The sequence below is a fragment of the Homo sapiens genome, chromosome 10 (genome assembly GCF_000001405.40).
Source record: "Homo sapiens chromosome 10, GRCh38.p14 Primary Assembly".
Taxonomy (NCBI): domain Eukaryota; kingdom Metazoa; phylum Chordata; class Mammalia; order Primates; family Hominidae; genus Homo; species Homo sapiens.
This window is the reverse complement of record NC_000010.11, coordinates 5,666,689-5,690,411: the sequence shown is the minus strand read 5'-3', so window position 1 is coordinate 5,690,411 and position 23,723 is coordinate 5,666,689. Positions and strand designations below refer to the sequence as shown.

The 23,723-nt window shown below is 41.6% G+C and overlaps 1 protein-coding gene across 5 annotated transcripts in view, besides 5 other annotated features; it reads right to left on the bottom strand.

Moving 5' to 3' along the window:
- The window catches only part of TASOR2 (transcription activation suppressor family member 2), a 78,903-nt gene extending 73,329 nt beyond the window's left edge, over window positions 1-5,574 (bottom strand). For 4 of the 5 annotated variants that reach the window (NM_001321783.2, NM_001321785.2, NM_001321784.2 and 1 more), the window contains exon 1: window positions 5,237-5,574. The gene's annotated coding sequence lies outside the window, so the exon portion shown is untranslated. Of the gene's footprint in view, window positions 1-2,996; window positions 4,796-5,236 lie in introns of those variants that run through there. The other variant, NR_135800.2, reaches the window with a different exon arrangement.
- Window positions 4,731-4,910: an enhancer, noted in NCBI's record as "active region_2927". NCBI's record gives its function as "activates an Ori minimal core promoter by ATAC-STARR-seq in GM12878 lymphoblastoid cells {active_cell/tissue: GM12878}" and the evidence as "EXISTENCE:reporter gene assay evidence [ECO:0000049][PMID:35858748]".
- Window positions 5,131-5,180: a silencer, noted in NCBI's record as "silent region_2084". NCBI's record gives its function as "represses an Ori minimal core promoter by ATAC-STARR-seq in GM12878 lymphoblastoid cells {active_cell/tissue: GM12878}" and the evidence as "EXISTENCE:reporter gene assay evidence [ECO:0000049][PMID:35858748]".
- Window positions 5,221-5,480: a silencer, noted in NCBI's record as "silent region_2083". NCBI's record gives its function as "represses an Ori minimal core promoter by ATAC-STARR-seq in GM12878 lymphoblastoid cells {active_cell/tissue: GM12878}" and the evidence as "EXISTENCE:reporter gene assay evidence [ECO:0000049][PMID:35858748]".
- Window positions 5,531-5,640: an enhancer, noted in NCBI's record as "active region_2926". NCBI's record gives its function as "activates an Ori minimal core promoter by ATAC-STARR-seq in GM12878 lymphoblastoid cells {active_cell/tissue: GM12878}" and the evidence as "EXISTENCE:reporter gene assay evidence [ECO:0000049][PMID:35858748]".
- Window positions 5,781-6,020: an enhancer, noted in NCBI's record as "active region_2925". NCBI's record gives its function as "activates an Ori minimal core promoter by ATAC-STARR-seq in GM12878 lymphoblastoid cells {active_cell/tissue: GM12878}" and the evidence as "EXISTENCE:reporter gene assay evidence [ECO:0000049][PMID:35858748]".

The window sequence follows — 23,723 nt, the reverse complement described above, 5'->3', positions numbered from 1 at the left end:
CAGGTGTACATGAAAGGTTCTAAACAGGGTCTATTTCACCATGCCAAGGAGGGTAGTGAATCTTTATACAAAATATTAGCAAGGGATTTAGTTCTCCGATTAAATGTAATTAAAATCTTACTAAGAGAAAACAAAGTACACTCCAGATACATTTCTTATGATAAAAACAGTAATTTTAAAAAGCAAATTAAAAAAGCCAACTAAGCCAAGCAATAAAAGCAAAAGCTGGTTATTTGTAGAGTAATAATAAAGTAGGTAATCTTTTAGCAAATATAAATAAGTAAAAAGGAAAAAATTAAATATTGAAAGCAAAGACGATACAACCACAAATACAAGGAAGATATTTCTAAAATTATAAATCACCATGTATAATTTATATCAATAAATCTGAAAACTATAAAAATATAATTTACCAACATTGGTCTAAATGGAAGAAACATTTAAATAAACCAATAATGATGAAGAAAATGAAAAGAGTAGTCAAAAACTCTACCCCCTCTTCCAAAAGACTAGTTCCAGAGATTTCCTGTTTTACTTTTAACTTATCAAAAATTATCAAAAATCCACAAGTTTGGCAATGTATGTCTGTTGGGGAAGCTGTGGGAAACAAAGTGAAAGAAGAGTAAAAGACCAGAAGAGAATATTTACTATGTAGATAATTTAAAAAATTATTTATACATTAAGATAAATAACACGAATGGAAATCACATTTAATAAATTATGAATAAACACATTTAAAAACATCTCCAATTTACAGATTTAAGAAGACAATCCCAAGCAAGATACATACATGCTTGTTTTTTTGTTTTTTTGAGATGGAGTCTTGCTCTGTCGCCCAGGCTGGAGTGCAGTGGCGTGATCTCTGCTCACTGCAACCTCTGCCTCCCGAGTTCAAGCAATTCTTCTGCCTCAGCCTCCCGAGTAGCTGGGACTACAGGCGCGCACCCCCATGCCGGGATAATTTTTGTATTTTTAGTAGAGACAGAGTTTCACCATATTGGTCAGGCTGGTCTTGAACTCCTGACCTCTTGATCCGCCCACCTCGGCCACCCAAAGTGCTGGGATTACAGGCGTGAGCCACCGCACCCGGCCAATACATACAAGTTAACAGCAAAGCAGCAAAAAGCTAAAGATCAAAACAAACAACAAAAGAACCCACAAAAAACAGTCAGAACAAAATGAATTGATAGACTGATAGGTGACTTTTCAATAGCAATAATGAAAGCCAAAAGACAGAGGAATAAGAGCTTCAGCATGTTAAAAGAAAACAATTGCCAACTTTTGTATTCAGCAAAAACATCATTCAAGAATGGCTGCAAAATAAAGACATTTTCAGGTGAACAAAAACTGAGTGTTCATCATCAATAGATCTTCAATAAAAGCCATTCCAAAAACTGTACTTTTTAAAGGAGACAGGGTCTTGCTCTGTCACCCAGGAAGGTGTGCAGTGGCATGATGATGGCTCACTGCAATATCAACCTTCTGGGCTCAAGCAATCCTCCCACCTCAGCCTCCCAAGTAGCTGGGAACACAGGTGTGTGCTACCACGCTCCACTAATTTTTTTTTTTTTGTAAAGATGGGGTCTCACTATGTTGCCCAGGCTGGTCTCAAACCTGGCTGAAGCAATCCTCCCAGCTCAACTTCCCAAAGTGCTAGCATCACACGCATGAGCCCACGCACCCAACCAATTTTCTGAAATTATATAATGAAATGTGTCATGTGAAAGAGCTGCACAATTCAGTGAACCAATGTTTTCCAAATGACACATGTGTAGGTAAAAGAGCCCTTGAAAGTGCATGGTAGGCCAATGTTAATGTCAGAGCATGAGAAGTTCATTCATATGATTTGCAATTCTACACTGCAGCTAACGTTTAACAAATTGTTAGGGGCTGGATGTTATAGTCCCAGTGCTTTGAGAGGCGAGGCAGGGGGACTGCTAGAGGCCAGCAGTTCGAGACTAGCTTGGGCAACATAGCAATACTGTCTCTACAAAAAAAAAAAAAAAAAAAAAAAAATTAAAAATTAGCTGGGCCTGGTGGTGTGTGCCTGTAGCCCTAGTTACTCAGGAGGCTGAGGCAGGATTGTTTGAACCCAGGAGTTGGAGGCTGTAGTGAGCTATGATCACATCACTGCACTCTAGCCTGGGCGACAGAGCAAGACACTGTCCTAAAAAACAAAACAGAAACAAAAACACAAAACTGTTAGGTTTTGATGAGTATCAAAAAAGAACATAATCATCTGAAAAGATTATTAAAATATTCATCTCTTTTCTAACTACTCAGCTGAATGACGCTGGATTTTCTTCATGCACTTCAACCAAAATAATACATGGCAACACAATGAATACAAAAGCAGATGAGACTCTAGTCATTAAAGGAGACCTTCAGCGTATTTGCAAAAATGTACAAAAATCCCATTCTTGTCACTAATTTTGGGGAGATAAAATATGTTAAGATGTAATGGGTTATTATATTTAAAGGTACCAATAAATAAACATACATTTCAAATTTATCAGTTTTAATATCTAATACGGTAATTATCAATTGATATAATCCAATAAACAAAAGATCTTTGGGATCTTCAGCAGTCTTTTGAGACGGAGTCTCACTCTGTCACCCAGGCTGCCGTAGAGTGACACAACCTTGGCTCACTGCAACCTGTCTCCCAGGTTCAAGTGATTCTCTTGTCTCGGCCTCCCGAGTAGCTGGGACTACCTGCACCTGCCACCACACCTGGCTAATTTTTGTATTTTTAGTAGAGATGGTGTTTCACCATGTTGGCCAGGCTGGTCCCTAACTCCTGACCTCAAGTGATCCACCTGCCTTGGCCTCCCAAAGTGCTGGGATTACAGGCGTGGGCCACCGTACCTGGCCCCCTCAATGGTTCTTAAAAAGTGTAGAGGGGTCCTGGGAATAAAGTTTCTAAATTGCTAAACTATAGGCACGTGCTTTAACATGAGTGAATCTCAGAAACAATGTTTAACAAAAGTAACTCATAGAATACAGAATGACTTTATTTAAATAAAGTTCAAAAACAGGTAAGAGTAAACAATGCTAGTTAAGGATATCTATATAGGTGATAAAACTGTTTAAAAAGGCAAGGGAATAATTAACACAAAATTAATAATGGCCAGGGTAACGGGGGGCAGGGAACGCATTCCTCCTGGGGTAGAAACACACAAAAGGTTTCCAAACTAACTAAAGTTTCTAAAGCTTTTATTAATTTTTGTTATGAAATATACCATTAACATGTACTGACAAAAAGCATATTTATTACACAGATACGCTTTGTCAGTACATATTAATGACATATTTCACAATAAAAAATTTTTAAAGAAAAGGGAGATGTACATATTCTCTTAGAAGGAAAAACTCAAATAAATGTCTCTTCTCAGATTATATATTCAACACCATCACAAACAATATCCCAAGATTTTCTATAGGACTTAAAAAGATAGTTTTAATTTCTTCTGGAAGAAAAAATGCAAAAGAAAAACCCAAAGCTCTTTTTCAAAAGAAAGTACCAAAATATATTATAAAACTATGATAATTAAAATGCTACAGTAATAGTTACATGGGCGAAAGAAAAGAGAGCTCAGACTCAATAAAAACATCAGCAAATGATATGACCTGCCTAAAAAGATTTAACTTTTGTATTCACCAAGGAAGATAAAAATTAAAACAGAATGTTACTTTCAATTACTAGGTGGCTAAGATATTTTAAAAATACCATTATCATCCAGTGCTGGCTAGCATGGAGATAAAAACACATCTTTTGAGCGAGTGAACATAAAAAGGTACAATCATTTCAGGGCAATTTAGCAACATGGTTATCCAGCACTCTCATAAGGAGTCAATTCTACAGAAATACTATCATGACCACCTGAAGCACTGTTTATAACAGCAAGAGATAATCACTGCAGTATTGTCAGTTATAGGGATATCTTGAAAATAACTTGAATGTCTACCAACAGAAAAATGAAATTCACTTGATAAATACATGCCATATTGATCTATTTTTACTGAATAGATAGTATACTGTATTTAACAAACACCATGTCTCAGTCAAGTTCTTAGGCACTTCACCGATTTTAACCCATTTTAACAACTATGTTTGGACCACAGGAGATGCTTATAATCTCCCTTTAAAAAAATTAGTTACATTTGGGCAAATGTTCTGTATACACAAAACTTCAAATATACCGTCTTGGTCTTCCTTAACATAATTGTGGACCTTTTGTCACCCTTTTTCTGGCCTGGCTTAGTTATTTATTGATGTACAGTACAGGACATACCGCATACAGTCACCCATTCCTATAAGGCAGTTTTTCGACAGAAGGGTATTCTTGCACCGTTAGGGGACACTGCTTTGCTATAAACCTCCTAGGCAGGATTACCGCCAGGCTCACCCCTAGTTTTATTCAGGGAACACTGTAGACTCTAGGATCGCGAATGCCATTCCAATAATACCATACACTTGTACGCCACATATTTAAGTTTTGGATACACTTTCATAAACTTTTCTATTCTAATTGTACCTTACAGGGAGAATAAGGAAGAGTAAGCGTGGTTTGTTTAAAGTTACAGATTTCAAATAGACAAGAAGCGACTAAGAGAAACTTGAGAATTCCCAAAGTAATCTTCCTCAAAATTTCAGTCATCAACCCAGTTCTCCCACGAAACGCTGCTTGGCGCCGCCTTCAGACAAACTTCTGTGTTGCTCGCACCAAGTTATCCCAACGCGGCTTGCGCTTGCTGCTGAAATGACCCTCCCTTCGGAGAGACCTGTTTTACCCTAAAAAGAAAAGGTGGCGCATTGCCATGAAGTCTCGAGTAGCAGCAGGCTTCACGCAGAACCCGCAGGAAATGATTTCCCAGCCGGTGCAAACCCGAAGACGGAAACTTCAGCCAAGAACTTATCAGCATATCCCTGAGGACGCAGCTGTCCCCTGACAGGCGACGCAAACGAAACGCCTCAGAAAGGGGCAAGATGACACGGTTAGGATCTCCCTGCCGGCGACACCGAGCGCGGCCACAGGTTGTAGCGCAGGACAGAAGGTTGAGTCATCTAGAAGGCGCCGACCCCTCCCACCCCCTCACCCGGAGCGCGGCAAAAGGCAAGGAGAACGCGTCGACCCTCGCAGCCAAGCCCCGGCAGCTGCCCGAGCGCTCGGCCTCGGGGACCCGCCGTCCTCCTCGCAGGGTTCCCGGGCGCCCAGGCCGAGGAGGGACTTACCCGTCCTTGGCGTGGCCGCCGCCCCCGAGGACCTGAGATCCCGGCTCGGCCTCCTTCCCATGCTTCTCCCGGCCGTGCTCTGCGTCCTCCCGGGCCCTCGCGACACCGGCGCACGTGGGAAGCACCAGTCGCCGGCTCCGCGCTCCCGCGGGGACCCCCCTCAGGGGCACGCCGTCCGCCCCAGCCCCGGGGTCCTCGCCGCGGGCGCTGACAGGGACGCCGCGGCCGCCCGCGCTCTGTCTCCCGTCAGGGTCACGGGCAAGAGGCAACCCCGGGACGCCCGGCAGCCTGCGAGAACATGCCGACTTTCTCTCTGACCGGCGCTAGCAACCGGAAGCAAAACCTCGCGGCCAAAGGAAAAGAAAAGGGGAGGGGGGGGCAAAAAAAGAAAGTGAAAACTGAAGTGAGGCGTCTCCCTCAGAGATGGGAACCAATCGCCGGGAAGAAACCAAGGCGCAGGCGCGGACCGAGGTCAGCGTCCACGCGGCGCTCGCGTCTCCCCTCTGCGCAGGCGTAAGGCCACAGCTCGCTCCTGATTAGGCGGCCGATCCCAACGAGCGCGTGGTGTCTCGCGTTGCCGACCCTTGACAGGAGGCGGAAGATGCCCTTGGGAAGAGGCGGGAGACGCTCTCTCGGCTGACCTACAGTGCTGTGGCTGTGGCCCACGTGGTCGCCTTCGGGCGCCTTCTCCCTTCTCAGCGTTTCATTCCCCAGGTGCTGCTGCAAGAACAGTTTATTTGTCTGGCCCGAATGCGACATTTTGGAAATTTTGCCCTTGTTTTAATCCATATAGTAGGTGTGGCTGTTACCCCCTAGGAAAGCATCTCTAGAAATTTATAACACATGCACAGAGAGCTAAGGTGACCATCAATAAATTCAGGTTTACCCTTGCCCATGATAAATAGTCATGCAAACATCATTTAACTGTAGGGACACCTTATGAGAGAGATGCCTCATTAGGCAATTTGGTCCTTGAGTGAACATCACAGAAACCTAGAAGCATAACCTACTACATACTTACACCATAAGCCATAGCCCATTACTCCTGGCTACAAACCCATGCTATATGTTATTGTACTGAATACTGTGGACAATTATAACACAATGGTAAGTATTTGTATAAGCATATCTAGACATAGAAAAGGTACAATAAAAATACAGTATGAAAAATAATGGTACACCTGTGTAAGGCATTCTCACGAATGGACCTTGCAGTACTGGGAGTTGCTCTGGGTGAGTCTGTGAGTGAGCAATGAGAATGTGAAGGTCTGGGACATTACTGTACACTCTTGTAGACTTTATAAACACTGTACACCTAAGCTACACTGAATTTATTTTTTTAAATTTTTTCATAATTAACCTTAGCTTACTGTAACTTTTTAACTTTTTAAAACTTTTAAAAAACTTTTTAAGACTCTTTTGTAATAACACTTAGCTTAAAACAAACACATTGTACACAAATATTTTCTTTATATCCTTAATCTGTAAGTTTTTTTCTATTTAAAAATTTTTTTAATTTACTTTTTAAACTTTTTTGTTAAAAACTAAGACACAAACACACATTAACCTGGGCCTACACAGGGTCAGGATCATCAACATCATTGTCTTCACCTCCATTTTGTCCCACTGGGGGGCTGGGATTACGGTGGAGCCACTGCGCCTGGCCATGTGTGCTGTACTTTTATATGACTGGCAGTGCAGTAGATTCATTTACACCAGCATCACCACAAACATATGAGTAATGTGTTGCTGTACGAAATTAAGATGGCTACGACATCACTAGGCAATAGAACTCTTCAGCTCTATTATAATCATATAAGATCACTGTTGGATATGTGGTCTGTTGTTAACTGAAACATTAAGTGACATATGACTGTACCAATGAGAGAGATTAAGTGCTAATGAACATGTATCATGAGTCAAGCACTGTGCTGGTAATACCAAGAGATTCAGTCATTGTGTTTACTGTTTACTGTAACCAGGTGCTGTAATAGACACTGGTTTTACAATCATGAACAAGCTAGATAAGGACCCTGCCTATAATGGAATTTATTCCAGAGGTGAGTGACAAACACAGGTAAATCACCACGACAAGAAAATAGAATCTCAGATAACAATACATGCTGTGAAAACTCACTGGAAATGCTAGTGGATGGGACTGGGGGCTGGAGGCCAAGGGCAGAAGTAGTGGAGCTACAAGATCTTACTGAAATGGGCACATCTGAGGTCAAACCCTAAAGATCAAAACTGATAGAACCAAAGCTTGGAATACGTGGAGGAAGAGCTTTCCAGGCAGAAGGGAAAGCAAGTGCAAAGGACTTGAGAAGTGAAATGAAACCTATTCAAGAACAGAAGAAGGCTGACTGTGGAAGTAGAGAGTGAAGTACAACAACATTTTAATAGTGCACAAAACCGGAATGTACAACTCCATGATTTATCACAAGGCAAATATTCATGAAACCAACACCCCCATCAAGAAATAGAACATTGCCAGTACCCCATCCCTCTTCCCTAGCCTAAGCACTATTCTGACTTCCATGGTACTCTCTTCTTTGCTTTTAAAAGTAAGTTTGCCAACTAAATATGCACCCTGAAACTTTATCATTTAGTTTGCTTGTGGTTTGAACTGTATATAAAGTGAATAATTTTGTGCCTGCTTGTGAGACTCACTGTGTTTTTGGGTGTACTTGTTCTTTCGTTTTCATTGCTGTATATGTAGGCGTGAATGTAACACATTTGCTTTACCCATTGTATTATTGATGGACATTTGGGCTGTGTCCAGTTCTTGGCTATTATAAATAATACTTTTGTGATCATTCTCATTTACATCTCTTGGTGTACATGGGCACTCATTTCTGTTGGATGAAAACCTAGGATTGGGATTTTGGAATGCTAGACATGATAATTTAGATTTTTGTTTCTGCAAATATTTATGCCCTTATTCCCCACGGTTGGCCAAGTTTCCTTCTCTACTTCATTGACGTTGGGCTTGGTCTAAGAGAGGTCTTTTGGCTGATAGAATATCAGCAGACATGACACAGCAGGATTCTTCAGTGTGCTCGTGCTGTTTGAGTTGGCTCCTGTGCTCAGGTGATTCATATGTGGAGAAAATATCTCGCGTAGCTGTTGTCTCTTCAGCCTGAGTCTCCAGAACAAACCTATGTGGAACAGATGTGACACCAACCCACAGTCCAACACACTTTGGATTAACAGAGCCTTAGACATCCTGAAGATCAAGGATTCTGAAAGTTAATGCTGTTATCAAAAGCTAACCGAGTTTGGGGTGATTTATTATAGGGCATTATTGTGGCAATAACAAGGGCATATGTTCAACTTTAGCAGATCATTTCAAACTTTTTGCAAGCTGGTTTTACTAAGTTATACAGTTCCACAAAGATAATTCTAGTTCGTCTACATCCCTGCCAATACTTTTGAATTGTAGCCACTCTGAAGGGTGTGTCATGGTTTGAATTTGCATAGTATACAATGTTGTTCTTTTTCAAGTATGTTTGGCTATTCTAAGTCTTTTTTTTTTTTTTTTGAGACGGAACGTCACTCTTGTTGCCCAGCCTAGAGTGCAGTGGTGCAATCTTGGCTCACTACAACCTCCGCCCCCCACCCCCAGCCCCTGTTCAAGCAATTCTCCTGCCTCAACCTCCCTAGTAACTGGGATAACAGGTGTCTGCCACCACGCCTGGCTAATTTTTTATATTTTTAGTAGAGATGGGGTTTCGCCATTTTGGCCAGGCTGGTCTCAAACTCCTGACCTCAGGTGATCCACCCGCCTCGGCCTCCCAAACTGCTGCGATTACAGGCATGAGTCACTGCACCCGGCCCATCTATTCTAAGTCTTTTAAGTTTCTGTATACATTTTAGAACCAGCTTATTTTCTACCTCAAAAACAACCTGTTGGGATTTTGGTTGGGATTGTGCTGAATGTACATATCAATCTGGGAGAGAATTAACATCTTACTAATTGTCAAATTCTACTTATTCAGGTCTTTAAAAATTTCCTTCAGCAATATTTATAGTTTTCAGTGTACAGCTCTTGCACATATTTTGTCATATTTATCTCTTTGTTTTTGATGTTATTCTTAATAGTACTAAAAATTTTTGCAATAATTTGTTGCTAGTATATAGAAATAAAATTGATTTTTCCATATTAACTTTATATCTTGTAGCTTGCCGAAATCACTTATTATATCCAGTAGCTATTTGTTTGCACATGTGTGCATTCTTTATGCTTTTTTAGGACATTTTCTGCAAATAAAAATAGTTTTACTTCATTGTTTCTAATTCGTATTTCTTTTCTCCTTATTGCATCAAGGCCATTCCATTAATGTAATGTTCAATATAAGGAGTGAAATAAAATATCCCTGACTCAAAAAAAAAAATCCTTGTCTTGTCTCTCATCTTAGTGCAAAAGCATTTAGTTTGTAACCATTAAGCATAATGTTAGCTTTGGTGTTTTGTACCCTTTTTTAGATTTATGAATTTCCCTTCTGTTCCTACTTTTTGAAAGTTTTTCTCATAAACGGGTGTTGAATTTGGTCAAATACTTTTCTGCATCTATTGAGGTGATTATATAGTTTTTCTTTTCTGATCTACTAATATGGTGAATTACATCAATTGATTTTTCAAATGTTAAATCAACAGTGAATTCCTGAGATAAACCCAATTTATTCTGGATTCATTATCCTTTTCATATATTATACTGGATATGAATTGCTGATATTTTGTTAAGGATTCTGGCATTTGTATTCATACAAGATATTGGTCTATGTTTTTGTTTTATTTTTCTTGTGAGGTCTTCAGTTTGGGTATGAAGGTAACTCTGGCCTCATCCAATGAGTTGGGAAGTTTTCTTTCTTAATTTTCAAAATACTTTGATTTAAATTGGCAGTATTTCTTCATAAATGTTTAATATAATTAATCAGTGAAACAATCAGGGCCTGTGTTTTTTATAGCAAGGTTTTTAAGTGCAGGATGTTATATCTTTAGTAGATATAGACCTATAAAGACCTAATATCTATTTCAGAGAAAGAGAGTTCTACCAATGCCACTGTCGTACCAGAGTGATGGTGGGCATATTTAAAGTTGTGTCATCATGAGAAGCACGATCAGAAGCTTAACACTATGTGTGTGGGGAAATATTACACAGAGTTGCGTCAATTTATTATCTAAACTCTAGTTGCCAATCAAGAATTATAAGGCATGCAAAGAAATGGGAAAGTATAACCCATACAATGAGAAAAAAACAAGCAGCAGAAACTGCCCAGAAGATGACCAGATGTCAGATCTAACAGAAAGGATTTCAAAGTAACCATTGTCCATGACTGTATTCCCATCACTTAGTGTGACTCAGAGAATGGAAATCCATGTGCTGAATACACAGACTCCCTCTTCTGGGCTTTCCATATCTGCAGAATGAGAAGGTCGGAGAGGAAAACTCCAATTCCTGACAATCCTACTCTTATTCTCCATTGTATACAATTTTAATAACTAACATGGAAATAAAAGTTCAAGAGAACGACAAGACTGCTTGACACAAAATAATATGGAGCTATCCTCTGTCCTGTCCTCTACCTGATTCCTCCTTGGAGACAAGCACTTCCAATTCTTTTAGCTGTTTCTTCTGCTATTTACTCAATTATTTTTTCCTGCCACTCTTGACTTCTCAATTTCATTCTTCTTATTACTATATTAAATAGAGATGGGGGTCTCACTATGTTGCCCAAGCTGGTCTCGAGCTACTGGGCTCAAGCAATCCTCCTGCCTTAGCCTCCCAAAGTGTTGGGATTACAGGCATGAGCTACTGTCTCCAGTTGACTTCTCAGTTTTAGATAAAATCTTCCTAAAATGGCTAATGAGGACTGAGCTATTTCAGGCAACACCCCGCAAGTGTACATTTGCTTTCCTCCATGCTTTCTATATAGTCATGTCATCATTTTTTATTGTGTGTTTACAGCTAAGCCATAAAAAACATTTGTACAAATTTTGTTTTACTTGATATTAGCAACTGCATCATTTTTAATCTCTGTATCTATCAAAAATATCACCCCAAGTTCTTTAACCACACACACACAGACACAGACACATACACACGTTATATTAGGAGTATGAGGGAGAGAAAATGTGTGTGTATAAAAATGGGGGAAGAGTAAAAGGGGTTAAATCATCTGTAATAATAAGTAGGAAACCAAGAATGTCTCTGTTTTAAGAGTATCCCATTGCCCAATTTATAAAACTTAGCAATACTGCAGGACTTCCTCCAAAAAATGCCGTAAGAAAAATACAAAGTGCTGTGTTTAGAAATTTTTTAAAAAAAGAAGCGCTATGGAAGTGGAGAGAAGTGCAGGATGAAATCTGCTGCCCTCAGGCTGTTCTCAGCCAGGGCCTGAGCGTGGTGGAGGAGGAGTTTGGGTCATTCCTGCCCAGAGCAGGGCTTCTCTCACGGAGAACCTTCATGCTGAGGTGCACATCTCCCAGCTGAGACTTTCCTAGAGCTCCATGGTGGTCTGAGACTCTCCCTACCCAATTCTTCCTCCTCGTTTCCATGCACAAGTGTCAGGTCTGCACCACAATCTGAGACTCTCCCCGCCTACTCTTGCTCTTTCCCGGTTTATTCTTTACAGGCATTTCCCCCAATAAATCGCCTGTATGTCTGCTTTTCAGAGACCAGGAACTGATACAAGTAAATACTAAGAGTGGTCCAAGAAAACAGAAGGCCAGCTGGGGTTTTGGAATTGGGTGACTCACGGTCCTGATGGCAAAAAGGGGCTCATTCCAAGAGGAATGTGAGGTATAGGACAGACCTTGGTAACAAGTGGTGGCCTGAATGGTGACGATTTCACCAGAGTTAACCCAGGAGAAGTGACGATTATGCAGGTGTGAGCTCACAATAAGAGAGGTGGTGACAGAGCTGAGGTACTAGAGGCAGGCGGTCTCCAGGGGCAGGCAGGATCTAGGGTAATAGAGGCAGGCGGGGTCTGATAGAAGCTGTCAGAAGTCATTACTCTAATGACTGGCAGAGGTGGAGAGACAGCCCACGGGGCCTGGCCCTTAGAGGGGGCAGATAGGACATAGTATTCCAAAATAAATAGGCAGCTAGGGAGGGTTCTACATAATATCTGCAACTAGGAGAAGGCCAGGAAGGAGGAGAGGGAAGCTGGAGGTGGAGATGGAGCAGAAGTAGCCCCAATTCCTATCACTTCCACGGGGAGACATCCATTCCCAAACTCCCAAGTTCTGCCAGGGTGGAGATCCTGGTCTGTCTCCAAAAAAGGTGTCTCACATGTGCCAGAAAAAACAAAAAGAAAAAATTAAATAACCCTAAAATGTGTCCTCTTCCCAGGAGACTCAGCACCTGCCCTTCGAATCCCAAGCTAAAGCTGCTGCCAGGGCACTTAGACTCTTGTGTCAAGGCAGCAGCAGGTGCGAACAGCTGTGACTTTCTTGACAGTAGTGATTGCTGCCGATGGGTAGGAGGAGGTAGAGCTGTCTTTGAACACGGGAAGGAACACTTGTACAATCCAGGGGTGCACTTGGGGGCCTCTTGGTACTCCCTTGTCCCATTGTAACTGTTGATGGACACAGGCAGCAATTCCAGCCTTAGAAATGTATGATGATTATGAGTTCAGGCCCCTTGAGTGTCAAGGTTTGAGTCATGTTACAAGGTGAGCCATGAAGACTTATTGAGGTGATAGCTAAGAGGGATAGGAAAATTTAAAATATGGTGGAGGAAGAAGAGGATGAATGCCCATTGAAGCCCTGAGACTAACTGCAGAGAGAGATCCTATTTGTACCACTGACCTTCTGTTTCTAAGTTCCCCATTGAGAGGCTCTTGGGAATCATAAGGAAACTGCTCCCCTAAATATGTACGGAGAAATAGATTTATCTGGTGGAAGGAGGTAGACTGTGGTAGTGATGGAAGTGATCTTTCTAAAGAGAAGCTGCTCTGGGAGCAGAGTTGACTCACAGATTCCAACTTCCACCCCACTGGAGCCACCATGCCTCTCACACTTCCTCCAGGATGTTCCCAGACAGTGGCTGAGCACAGCGGGGATACGAGTGCTGGTCCAAGCCTGCCTGGACCCTCCAATGGGCAACCTTTGCTCAGGCACTCTCCATCAGCCTGGCAAAACTACACTCAGACCTGAGCTGTGATCTGAGACTCCTTATATCCAGACCTTCCTTATTGCTCTTCCTTCACAGATACCAGGCTTTTATCTCCATCTGCGCGTTCTCCCACAATACCCCTGCACCTCCCCGTTTACTCTTCATGGAATTTTCCCTAATAAATCTATTGCACGTCTAGCCCATCTTGGTGTCTGTTTCTTGGAGAACTGAAACTGACACACTGCCCAATAAGCCTTTGGGGAGCACTCCTAACCCTGGCTTATTTCATTGTTTGCTTCCCAGAGAACATAGCAGCACTCTTGTAATCTTACTAAAAATGCAAATGCTGGGCCCCACACCTGAAGTTTCTTTTTTTTTTTTGAGACAGAGTCTCACTCCATTGCCCAGGCTGGAGTGCAGTGGCATGATCTTGGCTCACTGCAACCTCTGCCTCCCAGGTTCAAGCAATTCTCCTGCCTCAGCCTCCCAAGTAGCTGGGACTACAGGCACCCGTCATCATGCCTGGATAATTTTAGTATTTTTAGTAGAGACAGGGTTTCACCATGTTGGCCAGGCTGGTCTTCAACTCCTGACCTTAACTGATTTGCCTGCCTCGGCCTCCCAAAGTGCTGGGATTTCAGGTGTGAGCCACTGTGCCTGGCCTTGAAGTTCTTTTTAACTAGGTAAGGGTGGGGGCCCAGGAACTGGTTTTTCTTATTGGTGTCTCAGGTACCTGTGTTGCAGTTAAAATTAGATGATAGATACTATTTAATTTTCAACACTCATTACTCTAACACTATCAAACTAATATAAGAGTACTGAAATTAATCTTTATATTTAAAAGAAAACAAAAGAAGAAATTCCAGCCAAAAGGCACATGCTTACCCAAAGGGATCTATGGATTCAATGCAATCTGTGCCAAAATACTGATGATATTCTTCATAGAAATGGAATTAAAAACCCTAAAATTTATATGGAACCACAAAAGTTCACAAATAGCCAATACAATCTTGATCAAAAAGAACAAAGCTAAGGCCAGGCTGATGCCTGTAATCCCAGCACTTTGACAGGCCAAGGCAGGTGAATTGCTTGAGTCCAGGAGTTTGAGACCTGCCTGGGTGACATGGTGAAACCCCATCTCTACAAAAAATACAAAAATTAAGCCGTCATGGTGGTGCTTGCCTGTAGTCCCAGCTACTCAGGAGGCTGAGGTGGGAGGATTGCTTGGGCATGGGAGGATCTCTTGAGACAGTGAGGTGGAGGTTGCAGTGAGCCAAGATTGCATCACTGTACTCCAGCCTGGGTGACAGAGCAAGACCATGTCTCAAAAAAACAAAACAAAACAGGCTGGGTGCAGTGGCTCACGCCTGTAATCCCAGCACTTTGGGAGGCTGAGGCAGACGGATCACGAAGTTAGGAGATGAAGACCATCCTGGCCAACATGGTGAAACCCCGTCTCTACTAAAAATACAAAAATTAGCTAGGCGTGATGGTGTGCACCTGTAGTCCTAACTACTCAGGAGGTTGAGGTAGGAGAATTGCTTGAACCCGGGAGGCAGAGGTTGCAGTGAGCTGAGATCGTGCCACTGCACTCCAGCCTGGTCAAAAAAAAAAAAAAAAAAAAGAAATGATAAATGTTTGAGGTGATAAATATGTTAATTACCCTAATTTTGTTATTACTCATTGTATGCATGTATCAAACAATCATACCATACACCATAAATATAGATAATTATTGTGTCAATTTAAAATAAAACCTAAAAAGGTCATGTGCTGTAATATTACAAGAAAGAGCAAAACTTTTAAGAGCTAAGGATGAACTGAAAACATTGATAGAATGTATAAAGAGTGGAATTAATGCCATAAAGCAGGGTTGTCACACTGTGCCCCTTGGTCAAATCTGGTTTGCTGCCTGTTTTTATGAGTTTGTTTGTTTGTTTGTTTTTTTGAGACAGAGTCTTGCTCTGTTGCCCAGGCTGGAGTGCAGTGGCGCGATCTCGGCTCACTGCAAGCTCCGGCTCCTGGGTTCATGCCATTCTCCTGCCTCAGCCTCCCGAGTTTTTATGAGGTTTTATTGGAACTCAGTCATACACATGGATCATGTATTATGTATGGCTCAGTAAACATAAGGAGGCTCTGTAGCCAGACCACTTGGATTCCAATTCCAATTATGCCACTCACTGGTTGGGTGCTCTTGGGCAGGTAATTTAGCCTCTCTGTGCTTAAGTATTGTTATCTGCAAAATGGAGATAGTAACAGGACCTACCTCATAGGGTTAATATGAGGATCAAATGTGATCATGTATATACCATAATTTCTTAGCACATGGCCTGAGAGGTGTTAAAAGAGTTAAAAAAGTGTTATTTTAATGGATCGGTTTGATCATCCCTAGACCAACTCATCAAATTTATTATCACAAAAAGAAGGAAAGCCAGACATCATAGGCTTCCAGATTTAATGCAATTGGAAGTTTACAATCTATGAAGTCTTCTTACCAAAAAACCTGGATCTAATTAAGCATCTACACTATAGATCCACCTTCCAGTGTACAGAAAATACGGGGAACGAAGAACATGTTACATGACACCACAAGGATGCAATCAGCAAAATCTAGAATTTCTTTAAAAAATACATCACAAGTTTGGCACAGTGGTGCGTGCCTGTAGTCTGTTACTCAGGAGGCTGAGACAGGAGGTGATATGGTTTGGATTTGTGTCCCCACCCAAATTTCATGTCGAATTGTAATCCCCAATGTTGGAGGAGGAGGGGCCTGGTAGGAGGTGATTGGATCATGGGGGCAGATTTCCCTCTTGCTGTTCTCATGATGGTGAGTTCTCACGAGATCTGATTGTTCAAACGTGTGTAGCACCTCCCCTTCTTTCTCTTCCCTGCTTCCCCTTTACCTTCTGCCGTGATTATAAGTTTCCTAAGGCCTCCCACCCATGATTCCTGTACAGCCTGCAGAACTGTGAGCCAATTAAACCTCTTTTGTTTATATATTACCCAGTCTCAGGTATTTCTTTTCTTTTTTTTTTTTTTGAGACGGAGTCTCGATCTGTCGCCCATGCTGGAGTGCAGTGGCGCGATCTCGGCTCACTGCAAGCTCCGCCTTCCGGGTTCACGCCATTCTCCTGCCTCAGCCTCCTGAGTAGCTGGGACTACAGGCGCCCGCCACCGCGCCTGGCTAATTTTTTTTTTATTTTTTTTATTTTTAGTAGAGACGGGGTTTCACCGTGTTAGCCAGGATGGTCTTGATCACCTGACGTCGTGATCCACCTGCCTCGGCCTCGTAAAGTGCTGGGATTACAGGAATGAGCCACCGTGCCCGGTCCAGTCCCAGGTATTTCTTTATAGCAGTGAGAGAACGGACCTAATACAACAGGATTGCTTGAGCCCAGGAGTTCAAGGCTGTAGTGTGGGAGGATAGTGCTTATGAATAGCCACTAAACTCCAGTCTGGGCAACATCGGGAGACCCTTTCTGTAAAAAAACAAAAACAAAAACAAAAAAAGGGTGGAGACTGTCAGATTCCAAGTACAGGTGAGGTAGAAGGGATGTGCTGTAAATATAAAAAAACACAGGATGGAAGCAAAAGAATGAAAAAATCCATACATGCAAACATTAATTGTAAGAAAGCTGAAGTGGCCATATTTACATCAGACAATGTAGACATTCTAGCAAAAATATTACTAAAAATTTTACTAAATATTACTAAAAATTTACTAAATTACTAAAATTTACTAAATTACTAAAAATTTACTAAATTACTAAAAATTTGCTAAAAAATTTACTGCAATATTACTAAAAAAAGATAAAGAGGGACATTTAGTAATGATCAAAGGATCAATTTATCAAGAAGATACGGTATTAATAGTGTATGAATTTAGTAAAAAAGCTTCAATAAACATACGGAAAAATGTGACAGAACTGAAAAAGAAAAACACAAATTCAGATTCACAGTTGGAAACTGGCCTCAGTCTCTCAGGAAATTATAGAAGAATATAGAAAATCAGAAGGGTAGAGAAGACTTGAGTAACGTTGTCAAACAATTTGCCCTGACTAAAATTTATAGACAGTTCACCTGACTGCCAAATATATGTTCTATTAGTGTGTATAGGGAACATTCAGTAAGATAGACCATATGCTGCACTATAATATAAATCTTAATAAACTTAAAAGGATTGAAATACTATAGAGTATATTATGTATAGATTCTGTATTAAATTAGAACTCAATGACAAGATGATATCTGGAAAATTTCCAAATACTTGGAAATTAGAACACACATGTCTATATAAGCCACAGATCCAAGAAGAGATCATAAGAAATGTTAGAAAATGTTTTATACCGAATGAAAATGAAATCATAACATTGAACTTGTGGGATGCAGCTAAAGCAGTGATTAGAGGGAAATTTATGCCTTTGTCCACTTTATCAATGCCCAACCTCACTGGCATGACTAACTAGCAGGAAAGCTGATGTTCTTCACCCTGGAGCCAAACACACACCTAAGACTTTGAGAAGCTGAAAATAGGGAGCCAGTGACAGCCAATGGCTGCTTATATTAGAAAACGAAAAAACGTTTGAAATGAGGTATATGTTGCCTTGAAAATCCAAGGAAGCCTGTTTGGTGCCATGTTTCTTTCTTAGTGGCTGGAGGGGTCAGATGCAGCCCCTTCCCTTTACTTTGGGAGGTGTATCTTGACATGCCCCAGATCAATAGAAATTTGAATTTCTGTCCCACCCTCTGGCATGCATGCGTCTTACTGAAATGCTGACAGTAGACACTAATTCCTGCTCATCAGATCCAATCAGCTTGGTATCATCAAAACACTCGATGGGAGTCATAGCCTGGTGAATGGAGAGGCAGCCAAGATTTCTGCAGATCAGATTATGACATAAAATCAGAAGGTTGATAAAGTTCTGAGGTGAGAGAGTGATGGTGAATTGCTGCCCCAGCCAGCTGGAAGCAAACTGTTCCTCATGGTCTTCACTAACCACGTGTAACCACGTAGCCAGAGAACGCATTCATCAGACCAATAGCTGAATACCAGCAATGAAACCGTTTCTGAAACAGCAGCTTCACCTCTGATGAAGTTTATAATAATCCACTGTCATTCTCCCAGAAACTGCCTGTCTTCTGCACAGGCAAAATTATGTAATTTGAATGGAAATGGGGTGGGTGGGAGCAGGGGGAGTCACCATCCTGCATCTTTCATGCTTTTTTTTTTGTTTTTTTGTTTTTGTTTTTTGTTTTTTTATTTTTGAGACAGAGTCTCACTCTGTCGCCAGGCTGGAGTGTAGTGGCGTGATCTCGGTTCACTGCAACCTCTACCTCCTGGGTTCAAGCGATTGTCCTGCCTCAGCCTCCCGAGTAGCTGGGACTACAGGCTTGCGGCACCACGCCCAGCTAATTTTTGTAGTTTTAGTAGAGACGGGGTTTTACCATGTTGGCAAGGATGGTCTTGATCTCTTGACCTCGTGATCCGTCTGCCTCAGCCTCCCAAAGTGCTGGGATTACAGGCACGGTGGTTCATGTTCTTGATGGTAGCACTAAACTCTGCAATTCCTCCAGCAATGTGAAATGCCTTTTTCCTATGTTGGTAGATAGAGGCAGTTTCAGTGCCTTCTGCTTGGCTCAGAGAATCCATGTAGGGACTCTGCCAGTTTCTAGTAGATATATTCAAATGATGCATTCTGGAACTGAAGAAATAACTACAGGATTCAAGAACCCACTGGCTTATCTGAGACGAACCTATGCCCAAACTCGACTGATCATTTTTTCTATCAACTAGTATTCTAGCTGATAGACATAGTGGTATTTTAGCTCTCCAGGAATTAGTGTCAGTTCAGAGCCATTGACCCGCAATTGCTGAGTAGTCGTTATTTCCCTTTCTTCAGTGCATAGTCAATATACAACCTAGTAAATATCCATGAGATTCTTTGGGAAGGTCAGGAGGACGAGTTACAGTACAAACTCTGTGGCTCAGAGTTCAGGTGTACCTGGACCCACTTTCATTCAAGGAGCTCTGGGTCTGTGAACTGGCTCAACTCTAGGAATTGGTTGGGAGGCTGAAACTCCCTATTAAAATGATTTTTCTTTACTGCTCTTCGCCAGACCTAGAGCTTTCCTGCTTGTAAAAATCAAGTAAGGCTTCAGTAGGCTGCCATGTGTTTCAGCTCTAGGGATGCTGTCACTGACTAATCATTGCCCAAGATCTCTGAGGACAGACCATCTGGATGACTGTGCCAGTTCTGCTGCCCATGATGGCAGCTGGTCCCACACTGGCTTTGGCAATTAAGTGCCACCACTCAGTCATCAGATTCTATCATTCCCAGTGAATTCAGCGAGTAAAGCTTAATGACAGCAACTTCCCCACCATCATTACCGACCTAGACTCCCCAAGGATTAAGAAGCCCCCACCCCCGACCCCCACCGTCCTGACAAATGGACTTCTCAGTCTTGTGAGGGGGTTTTCTTCAGATTCTGAGAGCCAGAGTTAGGCGATGGGTGGACAGGTTTTACATGAAAAATCTACTCCAGCATTCTAAGCCTTTAGGAGACATTTTTCCAAAGTGTACTGAGAAAGTTCTGGCATTTCACCTGTAGAAACATGCCTAGCCATTTGAACAAGCAAACTGACTTTAGAATTGTGATGTGGTAAACCTGATTAAAAATTTTGGCCTGATCCAACATTATTTTCCTTCCAATCTAATCCAGTATCCCTTTGATCCATTCCTATATAAGTTCTACAGATTTCTGCCAATGTCACTTGGCAAAAATCTTGCAACTTTTATGGTGCGTGTTGTGCCTTATTAGGCCTCAAACCCCTCTGAACCTTACTTACCTTTCAGGGCCGGGCAGGCCGAGTCTGGGTTACAGGTCTAGAAGCAGTGACAGGTGAGGTGGGGGGTAGATCCTGAGGAGGATCCCCAGCTCTTTGCAAATCAGCTTCCACTGGTGAGGCCATCATAGATTCATCAGGCAAGATTAACCCTCTGAGTAAGCACAGGTGGATTCCTTCTACTGGCCAAAGAAGGCTCAGCAGAATTCAGGGGTTTAAGGTCTTCAGCTTCATGAAAATCTGCCCATTTGCTCCCATTCCATTCTTCAGCATCCCACTCCTTTCCAATTAGTTCTCTACCTTTACCATGAGAGACTCTGCAGAGTTGAGAATAGAATCTGCATTGTTTCAGTCACCTGCAAGCTTATACTTTGAGTTTAGCTTTCAGAAATCTTGGCTGTGTGGCTACGAGAGATAAGGGTTTCTTGCAGGGTGGCCATATAAGATTTCTGGTCCCTGGCCTGGTCTTTGAGCTGGAGAAAACCCTAAACTGATGACTTTGTTTTCCTTAAATCCAATCAGATCAGGATTTCTTGTGCCAGCCAAGATGGTGACAGCCCATTACAGTCTCTGTCTGCCACAGCTACAAATAAAAACCAGACAAGCTACCAAAAACAACTTCCTAAGGGCTTTGTTTTTTTTTTTTTAATTTTTTTTAGAGATGGGGGACTCACTTTGTTGTCCAGGCTGGTCTCAAACTCCTGGGTTTAAGCGATTTTCACAAGTAGCTGGGATTACAGGTGTGTGCCACTGCACCCAGCAACTTCCTAAGGACTCGGAAAAGTTAACAATGGCAGGAAGATTGGAGAGAGGAACCAAAACTTGAAGAACCCTATATATTTTTCAATACTCTTATATTTAGGAATAGAATCAGTCAATATAAATTGTAAATGAAATGCTTCTTCACAGCCTTTGGAGGATGGGTTATACCAGTGATTGCCAAACTTGCAGCAATAGTTAAAAAAAATTATAGGGCTGCCTCCCCGTCTCTCCCTGGAGCCCAGAATCTCCAGGAGAAACCCAGAAATATACATGTTTAACAAAACCTTGATTTCTCGAGTTAGTAAATTTAGGAAAAATGGCTTATCCAAGCAAATAGAATTGGATTTCCTAAAAATTTAGTCCTCACCCAAGCTATTTATTTTGGAGGCAAAAGAAGAGTATCTTATGACCTAGAAGACTCTAAAAATGTGGTATGAAGACTGTCTTTATTAGAAAAACCAGGGGTTAACACATCTCATTTAACAATGTGTAGGGGGTCCCCAACTACACCACTTTCCAAATAGCGGTCTTATCAGATTTTAAAATGCTGATACAAAAGTTATGATCTTATAAAATGACATTTACTTCCAACATGGTGAAACCCCATCTTTACTAAAAATATTTTAAAAACCAGCTGGGTGTGGTGGTGGGCACCTGTAATCCCAGCTACTCTGGAGGCTGAGGCCAGAGAATTGCTTGAACCCAGGAGACGGAGATGGCAGTGAGACAACACGGTGCCACTGCACTCTAGCCTCGGGGACAGAGTGAGACTCCGTCTCAAAAAACAACAACAACAAAAAACCACATGTGGTAGTTAGTTTAAAAATCACAGACCTTAGGCTAGGTAATCAGCAAATATTTGCTAAATGAGTAATAGAAACTTTGTCAATATCATAGAGGTTCTTACAATAGATTCAAAAGGTAATTGGAACCAACATGCAATAAAAAGAGATTAACACAAAAATAGATAAGTGGATTACTATTTAATGAATATTTTTGGAAAAACTCTATTTCAGTTTAGAAAAGAATGAACTGAGCTCCTATATTTTCATTCTACACATTGCAGTGAATTCCAGATGGGACTCAAAGACTTAGCAACAACAACAGAACAGAACAGAATAATTTATATTTTCTGGCTCTTGCTGGGGAAATACATTCTAAATATTGAAGAAAAAGGAAATACTTTCAGGGAATGCATTTCTGAATATATATGTAAACTTTGCAAAGCTTTTTCTGTAATGAAATCTTTTAATATTTTGGTCAAGCAACAGAATGGAGGAAAAACAAATAATAAGCAAATACTTGCTTATTAATATGTTTAGGAAACACTTGGATAACACACATACACATATGAATATATACACACACACATATATATATATGTTCTACATGATCATACTAAAATTTAGATGACACTTCGTCCAGGAAGAAATATTGAAGAAAATGCAATCATACAAACACGACATTGCCACAGGGGAAAACATAACATCCATGGTAAATATAACGATACAAAAATCTGTTACATTTAGTAAAAAGTGCAGAAAACCGGCAAGAAAAATGCAGGAGCCTGATTTTGGTAGAAAGTGGCAAAAAGGCTCTAAATGCCCAGTGCAAATGGCTTGAAATTCCATTCCCAGGCCTGGGGCTCCACATTTCCAGGGGCTCTGCTTTCCAAAAGATATGGTTCAATGTCCCCTAGGTATAGTGCCTTCGGTCTGGACTGCAGATGGAGACCTGGGTCATCCCAGAAGCTTTGTAGTGTGAGAGATCAAACTGGCTGCTCTGCCAGGCCTCACCTATTTCCAGACTGGATGATTCCTGATACTTTTACTTTTGAGCCCAAACTAACTTCTGCATGGAGGTTCAGTACAGGTCAGGTGAGTGACGAATCTCCTGACAGGGCTACAGTGAACTTTCACAAGGTTAAACCTTCTAAACTTGGGAAGCTGCTTTGCAAAAATAAATAAATAAAATAAAAATCCCTTACTCAATTGTTGACTGGGTATTATTCCGGAAACAGGAAACAGGTTTTTCATTTCTGCCAGGTTGTGCCCCAGCTTCCATTTGCTAAGCAGCTTAGGGGAACATTGGATTAAAAACCACCCGTAAAGAAAAGGCATTAAGAAATTGATTTGAACGATTTGAAATTATTATCTTGAAAGATCAAAGAAACAGTGATTATGAACACCGGCTCTGGTGGGAAGCGGTTCTTGAAAGTTAAAGCATGGGGGAACTCGAGTACTCTGGAGCATCATCAGCATCTGTACAATGCAAGTGAACTCTGGAAGCTAGACGCATGCTTTGCACGTGGACACAGACACATGCTTGCACAGGACACATTTGCAATACATACATGTTTATACATGGACACATGTTTTGCACACGCTTGCACAGGACACGCTTGCACAGGACACATGCACAGGATGCATGTTTTGTACAGGACACATGTTTTGCACATGGAAACACATATCCATGCTTTGCAAAGGGACACAGGGAAGCATGCTTACAATGGATACAAGTTTACACACGGACGCATGTTTTGCACAGGACATATGCACAGGATGCATGTTTTGCACACGGACACACACGTTTACATAGGACAAGTGCACAGGACACGTTTTGCACCGGACGTATTCTGTGCACGGGACGCACGGTTTGCAGATGCAAGCACACACACTCCTCGGCGCGACGGGCGAAGCGGGGTGGGCAGCGACAGCGGAGTCCGGACCCAGGGACAGCGCCTCCGGGAACCTCGCCAAGGC